The sequence below is a fragment of the Homo sapiens genome, chromosome 10 (genome assembly GCF_000001405.40).
Source record: "Homo sapiens chromosome 10, GRCh38.p14 Primary Assembly".
NCBI classification, from domain to species: domain Eukaryota; kingdom Metazoa; phylum Chordata; class Mammalia; order Primates; family Hominidae; genus Homo; species Homo sapiens.
This window is the reverse complement of record NC_000010.11, coordinates 102822257-102837652: the sequence shown is the minus strand read 5'-3', so window position 1 is coordinate 102837652 and position 15396 is coordinate 102822257. Positions and strand designations below refer to the sequence as shown.

General features: G+C 51.2%; 1 protein-coding gene and 1 long non-coding RNA gene across 2 annotated transcripts, besides 13 other annotated features; one reads left to right on the top strand and one right to left on the bottom strand.

Annotated features, from left to right (window-relative positions):
- Window positions 1-280: part of a biological region, named in NCBI's record as "CYP17A1 promoter", that runs on past the window's edge. NCBI's record gives its function as "regulatory_interactions: CYP17A1".
- Window positions 1-280: a promoter, noted in NCBI's record as "SacI/NaeI fragment for -235 to +72 promoter". NCBI's record gives the evidence for it as "EXISTENCE:reporter gene assay evidence [ECO:0000049][PMID:1964490]".
- Window positions 18-55: a protein binding site, noted in NCBI's record as "FP3". NCBI's record gives the evidence for it as "EXISTENCE:protein binding evidence [ECO:0000024][PMID:11463853]".
- Window positions 20-36: a protein binding site, noted in NCBI's record as "Ad4BP site -211/-204; H17-d". NCBI's record gives the evidence for it as "EXISTENCE:protein binding evidence [ECO:0000024][PMID:1517227, PMID:11145739]".
- Window positions 59-88: a protein binding site, noted in NCBI's record as "FP2". NCBI's record gives the evidence for it as "EXISTENCE:protein binding evidence [ECO:0000024][PMID:11463853, PMID:14684846]".
- Window positions 77-89: a protein binding site, noted in NCBI's record as "Ad4BP site -150/-142; H17-b". NCBI's record gives the evidence for it as "EXISTENCE:protein binding evidence [ECO:0000024][PMID:1517227, PMID:11145739]".
- Window positions 77-89: a protein binding site, noted in NCBI's record as "Ad4BP site -146". NCBI's record gives the evidence for it as "EXISTENCE:protein binding evidence [ECO:0000024][PMID:19359379]".
- Window positions 127-164: a protein binding site, noted in NCBI's record as "FP1". NCBI's record gives the evidence for it as "EXISTENCE:protein binding evidence [ECO:0000024][PMID:11463853, PMID:14684846]".
- Window positions 160-186: a protein binding site, noted in NCBI's record as "GATA site -75 to -49". NCBI's record gives the evidence for it as "EXISTENCE:protein binding evidence [ECO:0000024][PMID:14988427]".
- Window positions 180-198: a protein binding site, noted in NCBI's record as "-57 to -38". NCBI's record gives the evidence for it as "EXISTENCE:protein binding evidence [ECO:0000024][PMID:11897684]".
- Window positions 180-198: a protein binding site, noted in NCBI's record as "H17-a Ad4BP site". NCBI's record gives its function as "positive regulation of promoter activity" and the evidence as "EXISTENCE:protein binding evidence [ECO:0000024][PMID:1517227, PMID:11897684]".
- Window positions 180-198: a protein binding site, noted in NCBI's record as "-50 Ad4BP site". NCBI's record gives the evidence for it as "EXISTENCE:protein binding evidence [ECO:0000024][PMID:19359379]".
- Window positions 180-198: a protein binding site, noted in NCBI's record as "-57 to -38". NCBI's record gives the evidence for it as "EXISTENCE:protein binding evidence [ECO:0000024][PMID:11897684]".
- Window positions 240-7122, top strand: CYP17A1 (cytochrome P450 family 17 subfamily A member 1). Its single transcript, NM_000102.4, has 8 exons — window positions 240-588; window positions 2261-2399; window positions 2639-2868; window positions 3531-3617; window positions 4445-4660; window positions 4973-5142; window positions 6042-6145; window positions 6668-7122. The coding sequence occupies exons 1-8, from the start codon at window positions 292-294 to the stop codon at window positions 6949-6951; spliced, it is 1527 nt and encodes a 508-aa protein (NP_000093.1). The 5' UTR covers window positions 240-291; the 3' UTR covers window positions 6952-7122.
- Window positions 3149-4977, bottom strand: CYP17A1-AS1 (CYP17A1 antisense RNA 1). Its single transcript, XR_428804.2, has 2 exons — window positions 4782-4977; window positions 3149-3476 (listed from the first exon to the last, which is right to left on the bottom strand). It is a non-coding gene; the product is annotated as a CYP17A1 antisense RNA 1 (long non-coding RNA).

Below are 15396 nucleotides of genomic sequence, written 5' to 3'. Positions count from 1 at the left end.
GAGCTCCTCAGAGGGTGATCAACTGACCTCCCTTACCTAGCTCCTCCTCCGGAGGTTTGCCCTGGAGTTGAGCCAGCCCTTGAGGAGGCCTTCACTCCCACCGCCTCTCTCCCTTCTGGATATGAGCTCAGGCCTGGCTGGGCTCCAGGAGAATCTTTCCACAAGGCAAGAGATAACACAAAGTCAAGGTGAAGATCAGGGTAGCCCTTTAAAAGGCCTCCTTGTGCCCTAGAGTTGCCACAGCTCTTCTACTCCACTGCTGTCTATCTTGCCTGCCGGCACCCAGCCACCATGTGGGAGCTCGTGGCTCTCTTGCTGCTTACCCTAGCTTATTTGTTTTGGCCCAAGAGAAGGTGCCCTGGTGCCAAGTACCCCAAGAGCCTCCTGTCCCTGCCCCTGGTGGGCAGCCTGCCATTCCTCCCCAGACACGGCCATATGCATAACAACTTCTTCAAGCTGCAGAAAAAATATGGCCCCATCTATTCGGTTCGTATGGGCACCAAGACTACAGTGATTGTCGGCCACCACCAGCTGGCCAAGGAGGTGCTTATTAAGAAGGGCAAGGACTTCTCTGGGCGGCCTCAAATGGTAAGTGGTGCCCATCTCCTCCCTGCCCCCTTCACCACCCCCTGGGATTGTTCAGGTCTTCAGACCATGCCTAGAATGGGGCTTCCAGCTCCAACAACCTGTAATTCTTCCCAAAGTAGACTAGTGGGATGATGTGAAGGGAGTGAACCTTCAGACCCCCACCCAGCCTCTAAATTAGGCAGGAAGAATTAAAGGAATGTCTCCTCTACCAGGCTGCCCAGGAGGTGGGATGGGAGGACCACAGTGGTCTGAGGGGTCAAGGAATCCTCACTCCACTCCTCTCTCTGAGCCTAGACTTCTCTAATGGACTGAGAAGGTGCATGTACAGCACTTAGCCTAGCACCCAGCACAGTAAGTGCCCCTTATACAGCCAGGATTCATGTTACTTTTCATGGAAAATGGGGGCAGTGACTACTGTCCTCCATGAAAGCTGCTGGGGAGAATTAGCCTAGCTATTGCAGGCTGGGATTGCTGCTTTCCTGGTGCTATTTCCAGCTACTCAGGCTCACAGGGGCAGTTTTCTACAATGACATTTCAGGGTTGCTGATGAGCCTCCCACTCAGCAGGGCCCCCAGCCTCTCAGCATTTTTTTTTTTTTTTTTTTTTTTTGAGACAGAGTCTCTCTCTGTCGCCCAGCCTGGAGTGCAGTGGCCAATCTCAGCTCACTGCAACCTCTGCCTCCCGGGTTCAAGTGATTCTCCTGCCTCAGCCTCCTGAGTACCTGGGACTACAGGAGCATGCCACCATGCCCGCTAATTTTTTGTATTTTTAGTAGAGATGGTGTTTCACCATGTTAGCCAGGATGGTCTCGATCTCCTGACCTCGTGATCCTCCCACCTTAGCCTCCCAAAGTGCTAGGATTATAGGCGTAAGCCACTGTGCCCTGCCAGCCTCTCAGCTTTGATCAAGCCAAGGGTTGGTTTATTTTTTCTTGGACCAATCAGCCAGGTCTGCTGACCAACTACCTAGCTCCCACCTCTGCTGGCTTCCTCCCGGGGGCAGAGAAGATGGAGAAGGCTAGTCATGTGGATCTTCAGGGTCAGGAAATGGAAAAGGGAGGCTTTGGACCCTTTTGCTTTGGGGGGCACCTCTAGGAGGAGGCGGCTCGGCCCAAGTCCAGACTGGGTAGACAAAACATCTGCACTCTCCAAATGTGGGCTTGTGGCTGGGTATGCAGGCTTGCAATGGAAGGGTAAACCTGAGTGAGGTGAGCTGTGCCTTTAGCTCAGCTAAGGGCTCAGGGAAAAGCAGAGATCTGTGCAGTCCTCAGCCTCTACAAGCTCACCTGCTCCCTACCCTCTGGACAGGCATAGTTTAGAGAGTTTATCCCATCCAGAGTTGCCTTCCTGTGGTCAGAAACTGATGAGCAAAAAGAAGCCCAGAGGGCACCCTGTCAGCGAAAAGAACCCCAATGCTGCTGCATTCTAATTAAGGGTTCTTTCTTTCTCCTTGATCTACTGTATTTCTGAAGGAATTGGGAGTAGGAGGCCTTAGGGTCTGTCCTACCAAGTCCTTGCAGTCATGGTGGAGTGCAGTGGGGCTGTGCCCACATGGGAGTCAGCATGCCAGGTACCTGCCTTCTCCTCCAGGAAGGAAAGCAGGGACCAGAGGTGTAAGGGCAAGAGTGGGGTGGATGGTGTGAGATTCCTACAGCCTTGCCTGCTCTCTAAAGGCAACTCTAGACATCGCGTCCAACAACCGTAAGGGTATCGCCTTCGCTGACTCTGGCGCACACTGGCAGCTGCATCGAAGGCTGGCGATGGCCACCTTTGCCCTGTTCAAGGATGGCGATCAGAAGCTGGAGAAGATCAGTGAGTGCCAGGCTGGCCCCTGGGGCTGGGGCTGGATCCCACAGGAGCTGCTGGAGGGAGAGGAGGGTTGGGCAGGGGTAAGGGTTAGGACTAGAGCGCAATGCAGCCTTTTCTTGGCTACTGCTGCCATCTAGTGGCCATCTGCTATCTGTCCCCCGCTCCTGTTAAGAGGCAACTGGTACAGAGAGGGGGTAAGGGTGCTGATTCATTTCCCACCCTCATGCCCCCTCTCCCTTCAGTTTGTCAGGAAATCAGTACATTGTGTGATATGCTGGCCACCCACAACGGACAGTCCATAGACATCTCCTTTCCTGTCTTCGTGGCGGTAACCAATGTCATCTCCTTGATCTGCTTCAATACCTCCTACAAGAATGGGGACCCTGAGTTGAATGTCATACAGAATTACAATGAAGGCATCATAGACAACCTGAGCAAAGACAGCCTGGTGGACCTAGTCCCCTGGTTGAAGGTGAGATGCTGCCAGCCCTGCCTTCAGGTTCTAGTAGACCCTGACATTGTCCCCAATCTTCCTTCCTTTTTACTTCCCTGCTCCAGCCGCAATGACCCATCTTTTTCCTGATTACCTCCGCCACCTCTACCTCCTCTGCCACTTAAAACCTTTGCCATTTCTCTGCAGAGATAGATTTAGCCTTTTAATTATGCACCTTAGTACTCCAGATAATGACCTTCATTTCTTTTCCAATTACCATGTGCCAGTACTAAGCATTCTATACGCATTCATCGCTGAATTCCCCTTGGAAGTAGGTTTTATTATCCCCATTGTGCAGGTGAGAAGCAGGCTTAGCGGGGTTAAGGAGCTTGTCTGAGCCTTCAGGCTCATGTCTCTCTCACTCCTAAGGGCTGGACACATAGCAGAGTCAGCGCTTGATGTTTGATTGAATGGGGAAGGAGAGGTGGAGACCACGCCCTCCTCCCTTGTTTAGAATTGTCTTCGTCGTCATGATAAACCCGTTCTGTGTCCCCATCTTGCCTTCCATTCTGGCTGAAGGTCAGGGGTGGAGTAGGAACTTCCAGAGACAGAAAGCTAAGATCCGCCTCCAGGAGAGACTCTGGCAGCTGGAGAAGCAAAATGGAAGAAGGGTGGATTTAACATTTCTTTTTATTTCCCAGATTTTCCCCAACAAAACCCTGGAAAAATTAAAGAGCCATGTTAAAATACGAAATGATCTGCTGAATAAAATACTTGAAAATTACAAGGTAGGTGATAGAGCAGAAGAGAATATGAGTTAGGCTAAAAGTAATCACAAGAGCAGGGTGGAGTCCATTCTACACACTGTAGAAGCTTCAAAACCAAGCAGAGAACCTGGCACATAGTAGGTGTACAATAAAAACTGACTTAAGGGCTGGGCGCGGTGGCTCACGCCTGTAATCCCAACACTTTGGGAGGCCGAGGTGGGCAGATCAATTGAGGTCAGGAGTTCGAGATGAGCCTGGCCAATATGGTGAAACCCCGTCTGTACTAAAAATACAAAAACTAGGCCAGGCAAGATGGCTCACACCTGTAATCCCAACATTTTGGGAGGCCAAGGTGGGCAGATCACCTGAGGTTGGGAGTTCGAGACCAGCCTGACCAACATGGAGAAACTCTGTCTCTACTAAAAATACAAAATTAGCCGGGCACGGTGGCGCATGCCTATAATCCCAGCTATTTGGGAGGCTGAGGCAGGAGACTCACTTGAACCCGAGAAGCAGAGGTTGCAGTGAGCTGAGATCATGCCATTGCACTCCAGCCTGGGCATTGCACCAAGATTCTGTCTCAAAAAAAAAAAAAAAACTGACTCAAGGAGTTGGGATCGAAAAGTGAGGAACTGAAGAGGATCCTAGAAGAGACCTAACCTCTCCACCAAATTTAAAGAGGGCCCGGGGCTGCCTCCTACCTCCACAAGTTCGTAGGTCCTGCCCAGACTTGCTCTACTTCCAAGTGGAAGGAGCCTTGTTATCTCTAGTCAGGGACAGAAGTATGGCAGGAGTGTCACAGATGGGGCTCCTTCCTTATTAATGTCTCCCAACCTCACCCAACCCAGGAGAAATTCCGGAGTGACTCTATCACCAACATGCTGGACACACTGATGCAAGCCAAGATGAACTCAGATAATGGCAATGCTGGCCCAGATCAAGACTCAGAGCTGCTTTCAGATAACCACATTCTCACCACCATAGGGGACATCTTTGGGGCTGGCGTGGAGACCACCACCTCTGTGGTTAAATGGACCCTGGCCTTCCTGCTGCACAATCCTCAGGTGTGCTTCCCCCTCATTGATCCTAGACCCCAGCCAGCCCAATCTCTGGGCTCCAGAGAAAGGGAGAGCCAATTCTCTCAGGCTTTCTGTGCAGGAAGACTAGGCCTGCCCTGCTCCTTACCCAAGCAGTAGTTGGCTTTGACCCCAGAGTAGAGCTGCCCCATCTTCTGGAAGCCGGGCCTGGGCCCCAGAGCCACTACTGGGAAGGGACTGGACAGGCTCTTCTCGATGTCACAGTTGGATTCTTCTCTAAGCCCTTGCTTCTCCTGGGCTTACACACACTAGTCACCTCCAACCTACTCTGGTCTTCAGGTGAAGAAGAAGCTCTACGAGGAGATTGACCAGAATGTGGGTTTCAGCCGCACACCAACTATCAGTGACCGTAACCGTCTCCTCCTGCTGGAGGCCACCATCCGAGAGGTGCTTCGCCTCAGGCCCGTGGCCCCTATGCTCATCCCCCACAAGGCCAACGTTGACTCCAGGTGTGCCTGCCCTCCCAGTGACATCTAGCCCCATGATGCATTCAACACTGCTTGCCAGCCCACCTGGCTCCCCCTACCCCCGGCCCCTGCTGGCCAACCTAAAGTCAGTCAACCATCAACTACTAAAAATCATCCTGCCGGCCGGGCACGGTGGCTCACACCTGTCATCCCAACACTTTGGGAGGTCGAGGCGGGTGGATCATGAGGTCAGGGGTTCAAGACCAGCCTGACCAATATGGTGAAACCCCGTCTCTACTAAAAATACAAAAATTAGCCATGCATCGTGGCGCGTGCCTGTAGTCCCAGCTACTCAGGAGGCTGAGGCAGGAGAATCACTTGAACCAAGGCGGCGGAGGTTGCAGTGAGCCAAGATTGCACCACTGCACTCCAGCCTGGGTGACAGAGCGGGACTCTGTCTCAAAATAAATAATTAATTAATTAAATATAAAAATCATCCTGCCCCCAGCCCCGTGGCTCCATGTCTCTACCACCTACAGACACGCATTGACTCATCCACAGATCTGCCTGACTTCCCAGAGGAGCTTCCTGCTGCCCTCAGAGACATGTGGTCTGGGATGAAAGGCTGGGAGCTCCATGTTCCAACCAGCTGCAGCACGCACATAACATGCGCTGCAGCTCCAAACGCACACCCACATACACTGCCAGACACCAAAGTCCACAGACACAGGTGTTCAGACAGAAGCGCCTGTTAGGAGGGAAGGGATGGAGAAGGGCTGGATTTAGGTTTGATCTGGCAGAAGCTGAGGAAAACATGAGTGAGTGGGAATGAGGGAGTAAAGGGCATTTTCCTCACGGCGGAAGAATGAGGGGGCATGAGGCTGAGCAAGGAAGGGAGTACGAAGTCCCAGACCCACTTTTCCTCTTCCACTCTGGAGCAGCATCGGTGAGTTTGCTGTGGACAAGGGCACAGAAGTTATCATCAATCTGTGGGCGCTGCATCACAATGAGAAGGAGTGGCACCAGCCGGATCAGTTCATGCCTGGTGAGTCTGTCCTGTCCTGCGCCCTGGGCCACACAGCGAGCCTGGACTCTGCTCCACCACCCCAGTACCCCTTCACCTCTGCCAAGCTTGCTGCTAGAAAACTCTTGGCTCCAACTATACGGACCTGTTGACACCCTCATCCTGCCATAGACTTACCCAAACTCTTCACAGCTGGGTTTCCCACGCTCTTCTTCCAACCAACTGCAAATTCACCCTCCAAGAAGCCCTCTACGCCTCTGTCTGCCATTAAGTCTGTCCCTTCTCCCCTCGGATGGTGCTATTTTCATAGGTTAATTCCATCTCTTTTCCATCCTTCCTGAATATTTCATTTCCTCTGTGTCGTTAAGGGCTACCTGAAAGCAGGGCTGTATCTCTCCCCAGGCGGGGGTTCCCCCATAATAAGGCTACATCCTCAGATCAGGGTTCCCTGGGCAGGGCCATGTCTCCCCCTCAACCAGGGCAGAACCATGCCTCTCCTCCCTCCTGCCCTAACCCCTGGCTGATGCCACTCCTTGCCTGCAGAGCGTTTCTTGAATCCAGCGGGGACCCAGCTCATCTCACCGTCAGTAAGCTATTTGCCCTTCGGAGCAGGACCTCGCTCCTGTATAGGTGAGATCCTGGCCCGCCAGGAGCTCTTCCTCATCATGGCCTGGCTGCTGCAGAGGTTCGACCTGGAGGTGCCAGATGATGGGCAGCTGCCCTCCCTGGAAGGCATCCCCAAGGTGGTCTTTCTGATCGACTCTTTCAAAGTGAAGATCAAGGTGCGCCAGGCCTGGAGGGAAGCCCAGGCTGAGGGTAGCACCTAAAGGCTGTAACTCACAGCCCCTGTCCACCCTATGTGGCCCCACAACACAGATTTAGAGATACAACCCCCCACCCTTCTCCGCCATTCTTCCCTACTCCCAACCCACTCTGCCTTCTTTTTCAGCTTGTGGCAATGCCAGTGATGTGCATAAACAGTTTTTTTTTTTCCATAAGGTCCCTGAGTAGTTCATTTATGTATTCATTTGCTCACTCATTCTTTCAACACCGATTTTATTGAGCACCTACTATGTGCCATTCACTTTCTCAGGACACTCGAGCTCCGTGGTCTCTGAAGCTTACATTCTAGTGAGGGCTAACAAGTGAATAAGTTCAGAGACTCGTAAGTGCTTTGAAGTCAATCACAATTTGTGTGATGTGATGAGAAAATGGCAGAGGCAGTGGGTGGCTGCTTTGAACAAGGGGTCAGGAAAAGTGTTGCATGCTGAGAAGCAGGTAAAAAGGCCTCCAGGTGGGAGAGGTCAGCATGGCCAGTGAAGGGGAGAGTGGGCCCTGATGAGGTCAGAGTGGACATAGTGGTCCGTTCCCACTGTAGCTGGGATTACAGGAGGCCAGGAGGGAGGTTGGGTTTTATTCTAATTATGACAGGAAGTCACTGGAGGATTTTAAGTATGTAAGTGGAACAATCTGTTTTTTTGTTTTTGTTTTTGTTTGAGAAGGAGTTTCGCTCTTGTTGCCCTGGCTGGAGTGCAATGGCATGATCTTGGCTCACTGCAACCCCTGCCTCCTGAGTTCAAGTGATTCTCCTGCCTCAGCCTCCAAAATAGCTGGGATTGCAGGCGTGTGCCACCATGCCCAGCTAATTTTGTATTTTTAGTAGAGATGAGGTTTTGCCATGTTGGTCAGGCTGGTCTCGAACTCCTGACCTCAGGTGATCCACCCATCTCGGCCTCCCAAAGTGCTGGGATTATAGACATGAGCCACAGCGCCTAGCCTGTTTTTTGTTTTGTTTTGTTTGGGTTTTTTTGTTGTTGTTTTTTGTTCTGTTTTTTGAGTGACATGGTCTCACTCTGTTGCCAGGCTGATTGCAGTGGCACAATCATGGCTCACTGCAGCCTCAACCTCCCAGGCTCAAGTGATCCTCCCACCTCAGCATCCCAAGTAACTAGGACTACAGGCACACATCACCAGGCCTGACTAATGTTTTACTTTTTGTAGAGATGGGGTTTTGCTGTGTTTTCTAGGCTGGTCTCAAACTCCTAAGCTCAAGCGCTTCTCCCACCTCAGCCTCCCAAAGTGTTTGGATTATAGGCATGAGCCGCTGTGCCCAGCTGGTTTGTATTTCTGAAAGATCGCCGTAGTTGCTGTGTGGAGAATGTTCTGCTAAGGGATGGGAGTGGGAGCAGGAGAACAGTTAGGAAGGAGGCTGTTGTGCTGGTCCAGGAAAGCCAGATGTTGATGAGTTAAACCACGGCCACAGCAGTGGAAACAGTGAGAAGTGGTAGGATTGAGTTTATCTTTTGTTTTCTGTTTGTTTGTGTGTGTGTGTGTGTGTGTGTGTGTGTGTGTGTGTGTGTGTGTTTTGAGACAGACTCTTGCTCTTTCACACAGGCTGGACTGCAATGGCACAATCTCAGCTCACTACAACCTCCACCTCCCTTGAGCGATTCTGCTGCCTCAGTCTCCCAAGTAGCTGGAATTACAGGCGCCTGGATAATTTTTTTATTTTTACCAGAGATGGGGTTTCGCCATGTTGGCCAGGCTGGTCTCGAACTCCTGACCTCAAGTGATCCCACCTCAGCCTCCCAAAGTGCCAGGACTACAGGTGTGAGCCACCGAGCCTGGCCTGAGTTTATATTTTGAAAGTAGGGCAGGCCGGGCGTGGTGGCTCGTGCCTGTAATTCCAGCACTTTGGGAGTCCGAGATGGGTGGATCGCCTGAGGTGTGGAGTTCTAGACTAGCCTGCCCAACATGGCAAAACCCCGTCTCTACTAAAAATACAAAAAATTACCCGGGCGTGGTGGCAGGCACCTGTAGTCCCAGCTACTCGGGAGGCTGAGACAGGAGAATGGCGTGAACCCCGGAGGCGGAGCTTGCAGTGAGCGGAGATCGCGCCACTGCACTCCAGCCTGGGCAACAGTTCAAGACTCTGTCTCAAAAAAAAGAAAAAAGGAAAAGAAAAAGAAAGTAGGGCAAAAGTGTTGTTTGTTTTGATCCAAATAGGCTTCACTGCATGTTACCTCACAGGTTCGACCTTGGGGGAGTGTATGTGACCCACAGACTGGACCTGCCGTTGCCATCCCTCTGTCTTGGTCTGCAAAGACCAAGACTGGTGTGTCCCCCTTTCCTCACCCTTCCCTGGGGTAAACACTGCCAGGTAAGGGCTTCTACAGCTGTCTTCTGCAGCAGTGCCTGGGTTCCACCTCCTTCTCCCCACTCAAAAACCCCAGGAAGTCTGTAAAAGCTTCCTCACTAGGGCTGGGTGCAGTGGCTCACGCCTGTAATCCCAGCACTTTGGGAGGCCGAGGCGGGCAGATCACGAGGTCAGGAGATCGAGACTGTCCTGGCTAACACGATGAAACCCCGTCTCTACTAAAAATACAAAAAATTAGCCGGGCATGGTGGCGGGCACCTATAGTCCTAGCTACTCGGGAGGCTGAGGCAGGAGAATGGCATGAACCCGGGAGGGGGAGCTTGCAGTGAGCTGAGATCGCGCCACTGCACTCCAGCCTGGGCAACAGTGCGAGACTCCGTCTCAAAAAAAAAAAAAAAAAAACAAAGCTTCCTCACTAGAAAATGAAGCCCTGACTCCTTTATATCTGGAAACTGGTATATTTAAACCTTGGTCATTGGCCAGTCTGCAAATGAATGTCCTGAGACATCCCGGAAGAAACTGACCCTTTTAGCCTAGAGAGAGGCCCCATCCCCAGCTCCCTGGTGCCAGCCAGACCAGGGTCAGGTCATCAACAACCCAGTCCTTCCCCTCTGACTAGACAGAAGGACGTCAGCAGAGCATGGCTGATACCCTGCCTAGCTAAGTCTTAGAGAGAAGACGTCCCTATAGGGAGCAAGACAAGGTTTTCAGTTACGACACTACCTTCTTCCTTATAAAGAGCTTTGTTAATCAGGTGGCAGTGGACCGTTCCCTACTATTCCCTAACTCGGTCTTGGCCTTCATCTGCCATTTACCCTGGGACTTTGCTAAAGAGCCTGCAGGAGGCCAAGTGTGGTGGCTTATGCCTGGAATTCCAGCACTTTGGGGGGCCTAGGCAGGAGGATCCCTTGAGCCCAGGAGTTCGAGAGCAGCCTGGGCAACAGAGTGAGGCCCTGTTTCTACAACACTTAAAAAAAAATTGGCCGGGCGCGGTGGCTCATGCCTGTAATCTCAGCACTTTGGGAGGCCGAGGCAGGCAGATCACAAGATCAGGAGATCGAGACCATCCTGGCTAACACGATGAAACCCTGTCTCTACTAATGATACAAAAAATTAGCCGGGCGTGCTGGCAGGCGCCTGTAGTCCCAGCTAATCGGGAGGCTGAGGCAGGAGAATGGCGTGAACCTGGGAGGCGGAGCTTGCAGTGAGCAGAGATCGCGCCACTGTACTCCAGCGTGGGCGACAGAGCAAGACTCTGTCTCAAAAAAAAAAAAAAAAATTACCCAGGCATGGTGGCATACCTGTAGTCTCAGCTACTCAGGAGGCTGAGGTGGGAGGATTGCTGGACCCCAGGAGGCCGAGGCTGCAGTGATCTGAGATCGTGCCACTGCACTGCATCCTAGAGCAAGACCCAATCTCTAAAGAAAAAGAAAGAAAGAAGAAGAAGGATTAGTATTTCACTTTCCTGCCATTCAATGTTCTGGTTCAATAGTTGGAGAATGAAAGAGTGCATATGTGTGTTGGGGGGCAGAGTGAGAGAGAGAAAGAGATGAAGATATATGGGAACCTATAGACAGACAAACAGATATAGATAGATGTAATATGCACCAGGTCAGTATCTGTCAAAGTGTGGCTCACAGACCCCTTGAGCCAGACTCATCTGAGAAACTTACTTAAGAACACAGACTCTGGTCCCTATCTTTCATGCATTGAGTACACTCTGGGAGCAGGGCCTGGAAATCTGCATTTTACAGGCTATCCAGGTGAATCTTGTACACACTGCTGCGCACCCCCCCCGAGTCCTCAAGTGACATTGTGTGAGATTCTTGCAAACTTGCGATGTTTTCCATCCCAGTTAAACCCACCCACCACTTCCACAGAGGACACAGATCTTCTGCTAATTGCTTATCTCTTCATCACTAGTCTACAAAATGCCTTTCAGGCCAAGCACAGTGGCTCACACCTGTAATCCCAACACTATGGGAGGCCAAGGTGGGCACAACGCTTGAGCTCAGGAATCTGAGACCAGCCTGGCCAACATGGTGAAACCTCGTCTCTAGCTGGGCATGTTGGCGCACACCTCTAGTTCCAGCTACTCAGGAGGCTGAGGTGGGAGAATCGCTTGAACCCAGGAGGTGGAAGTTGCAGTGAGCCAAGATTGTGCCACTGCACTCCAACTGGGTGACAGAGTGAGTGAGAGAGACGCCGTCTCAAAAAAAAAAAAAAAAAAAAAAAAAAAAAGCCTTTCAAATTCTGAGCAAATCTGAAATACTTAACTTTCCTCCAGCCAATCTTATTCCCCTCTGCTTTGAGCTGAGGATAGCTTGACTCGATCCAGCACCCAGCTGATGGGGGCAGAGGAACCGGGAGAGGGAAGGGACAAACTCCAGTATAGCCTTTCCCTTGGGCTCACTGTGGTGTCAGCATCTCTCCCAGGCTGCTTGTGATGGGGGCTGGGGTCAGCTGCCCACAAGCTCTCCTACGGACTTCATTTTTTTTTTGAGACAGGGTCTCACTCTGTCACCCAGGCTGGAGTGCAGTGGTGCAATCATGGCTCACCGCAGTCTGGAACACCTGGGCTCAAGAGAGCTTCCTGCCTCAGCTTCCTGGGTAGCTGGGACTACAGGTGTGTGCCACCACTCTGGCTAATTTTTAAGTTTTTTGAAGAGATGGGGATCTTATTATGTTGCCCAGGCTGGTCTCAAACTCATGGCCCCTAGTGATCCTTCTGCCTTGGCCTCCCAAAATTCTAGGATTACAGATGTGAGCCACTGTGTCCTGTCTAAACCTTCATTTTGAAGGAAACTGAGGGCCATTGTGTGGGCTGGGTATAGGGTATGACTTGCCCCAGATCACACAGCTACGTAGCAGCAGGGCTGGGACCAGAACTCAAGATTTCAATGGTGCATGGTGGGGAGCCAGCCATGCTTTCCCACCTGTCCCCTGTGGTCATGCAGAAGGGCTCTTGGGATATTTGGCCGGGAGAGTACCTTTCAGGCAAGCGGAGTGACCTTTTAGAAAATGACTTTATGAACTTTGACTCCTGCCCAAACTGTGCTCTCCCGTCTGGAAGGCCTTTTCACCACTGATCTAAACCCACCTGCCTTGAGGCTCAGACACATTTTTTATGACTCCTGAGTCCACCATGACCATCCCTCTTCAGCACTCAGCTTCTGTTCCTTGGTACTGAACCTAAACTGAACCTTGGCATCTGAGCATCTGCCTGGACTTGAAATGGGTGGGGCCCCCCACAGACACTGTCCACCTCCTGTACCTCTGGAGTTCAAGACTGAGCCTTCTCATGTTCTTTATCCTGCATATCAGCACCTGACAAATAGAAGGGTAGACAAACAAGAGTGATGCAGGACAGGCAAGCCCTAAAATTGGGGCTTAGCCCAGGAGGGTTCATGGCTTCACCCAGAAAGAATTCCAGCAAGCAGCAGTGGTGGTAGCCAGCAAGCCGCAGTGCACAGAGCAGCAGAGGTACTGCTCCTTGTGGAGCAGGGCTACCCAGAGGCAGTGTGCCCAGAAGAGCAACGCAGGGGCAGGGCTGCACTCATATGGACATCTACTTTTAATTATATGCAAATTAAGGGGTGGATTATGCAGAGATTTCCAGGATGAGGGTAGTAACTTCCAGGTCATCAGGTCGTTGCCACGAAAAGGGATGGTAACTCCTAGGTTTTGCCATGGCAATGGTAAACTGACATGGCACACTGGCAGGCATGTCATGGAAAGCTGCTTCTGCCCCCCTACCTGTTTTAGCTAGTCCTTAATTTGGTTCCATGTCCGAGCCCCGCCTCCTACCTCAAGAGGACTGAATCAAATGCTCTAAATCACTTGGTTAATTGGCCCAATGATAGTAAATAAATTCTATCTCCTTATGCAGAAGGAAGCCCAGATCTTTGACAAAACTGGAAGGTCTTTGCCAAGACCCCACAGTTAACCGTCTGAGCCTCAGACTGTCCTTAACCAGTGATGTGATGATAAATAAATGTTTAACAACCAGGTCTGGGAGGGGCGGGGGTGTGCGGAATAGCCTTGATTTGTAATGTTTGCTGATTACTGTGGTGTAGATACTCCCAACGTGACCAATTTTAAACTACCAATGTGATGCCAGTAAACAGGGTTGGAAAGAGACACATAGTAGCATTATATGTTCTTTACCGTTGTTATTATTACATAGTAAATGCCATTATGTAGTATTTCCACCATACTGATAGGTAAATGTAAATAACCTCAAGGGCACAGATAACAGTAACATGTAGTAAAATAACTAGGAAATGATCAGTTTTGAGTATCTATTACCTTTGTTTTTAATATAACTCAATTGTAGGTTTAAGTTTTTTAAATTGGCTGTTTCATATAAACAGCTCATAAAATTCCTGAAAATTTAAAAATCAGTTCTAGTGAGCTATTAAGAGCCAACCCTCCCAGGAGAAATGGGCCACGCTTGTCTTAAAGAAAAGCAGTTCCTGGCTGGGCGAAGTGGCTCATGCCTGTAATCTCAGCACTTTGGGAGGCCGAGGCAGGTGGATCACCTGAGGTCAGGAGTTTGAGACCAGCCTGGCCAACTTGGTGAAACCCCGTCTCTACTAAAAATACAAAAATTAGCGGGGTGTGGTGGCGTGCACCTGTAGTCCCAGCTACTCGGGAGGCTGAGGCAGGAGAATCACTAGAACTAGGTGGAGGTTGCAGTGAGCCGAGATTGTGCCACTGCACTCCAGCCTGTGAGACAGAACAAGACTCCGTCTCAAAACAGACAAACAAAAAACGAAAAGGAGTTCCTGGGCTGGGGACAGTGGCTCACCACACCAGCACTTTGTAATCCCACCACTTTGGGAAGTCAAGGTGGGTGGATCTCTTGAGCTCTGGAGTTCCAGACCAGCTGGGCAACATGGTAAAACCCCATCACTACAAAAAAATACAAAAAATTAGCCAGGTGTAGTGGCACATACCTGTGGTCCCAGCTGGTCCCAGTTACTTGGGAGGCTGAAGTGGGAGGATCACATTGAACCCAGGAGGTCAAGGCTGGCAGTGAGTGCGCCACTGCGCTCCAGCCTGGGTGACATAGCAAGAACTTGTCTCAAAAAAAAAAAAAAGAAAAAAGAGAAAGAAAAGCAGTTCCCCTGAGTCTCCTTGTTGACAGGAGGGAAATCCTTCCCTATTGTGGGAGGGTGAGAGTGAGTGAATGTTCTATCAGCCTCTGGTGGCCACAAAACCTGAGGCAAATGAGGAGCCCTCTCTGCAGTCACACTCGTAGATGTTAGCGCCCTTCTCTGGAGGGTGGGGATCCAGTCACAGAGGCCGTGCAGTGGGGTGGGAAGCGCAACGGATAAATTGGACCCAGACCACCCCGGTGCTCTGCCCCAGCTCCCGTTTCCTGACCCTGGATCTTAGGCCCATCACTAACTTCCTGAGCCTCAATTTCCCCATGGATAATGTGGGGGAACCTAACACCTGCGCTGCCCATCTTCCGAGGCTCTGGTGAGGATGAGAGGCAGAAAAGAGTGTGTGGGCAGGAGAGTCCCACACAGACGGGAATGCAAATGACTCGAAGTCAGGTTGCAGAGACAAATCCTCCCAGTGTTGTCATTTACAGACTGCGTGGCCATGGACACCTTAGGTGGCCTTAAGCCTTGGTTTTCCCATCTGTAATATGGCGGGGGCGGGTGGTAGGGAACTGGGATGTTTGTGTCATAGCGTTACTGTGAGGATGAAATGTGAACCTATGAAATACATTTAGTGCCTTGATAAATATTGGGTTTCTCGTCGTTGTCTATATCCAAACCCACGAAATGAGTCCTTCTCAGGGTTTTATACAAACCTCCCCAAAAGCCACCAGTTTGGTCAGGAGGGGGAGCGGGTGTGTGCAGATGAGTCCCTCCGCAGGATGGAACCCTGGGGAACCCACCCTCCCCGTTCCATCCCTGCAGGGCCCACTACAGCCCCTGGCCTGCCACCTGCCCACTCCGTCCCCGCAGAGCCAGGGCTGATGGACTGCCGGGCAGCGGGTGGAGAACCCAAAGACAAACTCACGGCTCCAGCACAGGTGTTCCGTCACAGTTTCTGTGGGATTGGGTTTCTTGAGCCTTCTTGGTGAAAAAACATGAAA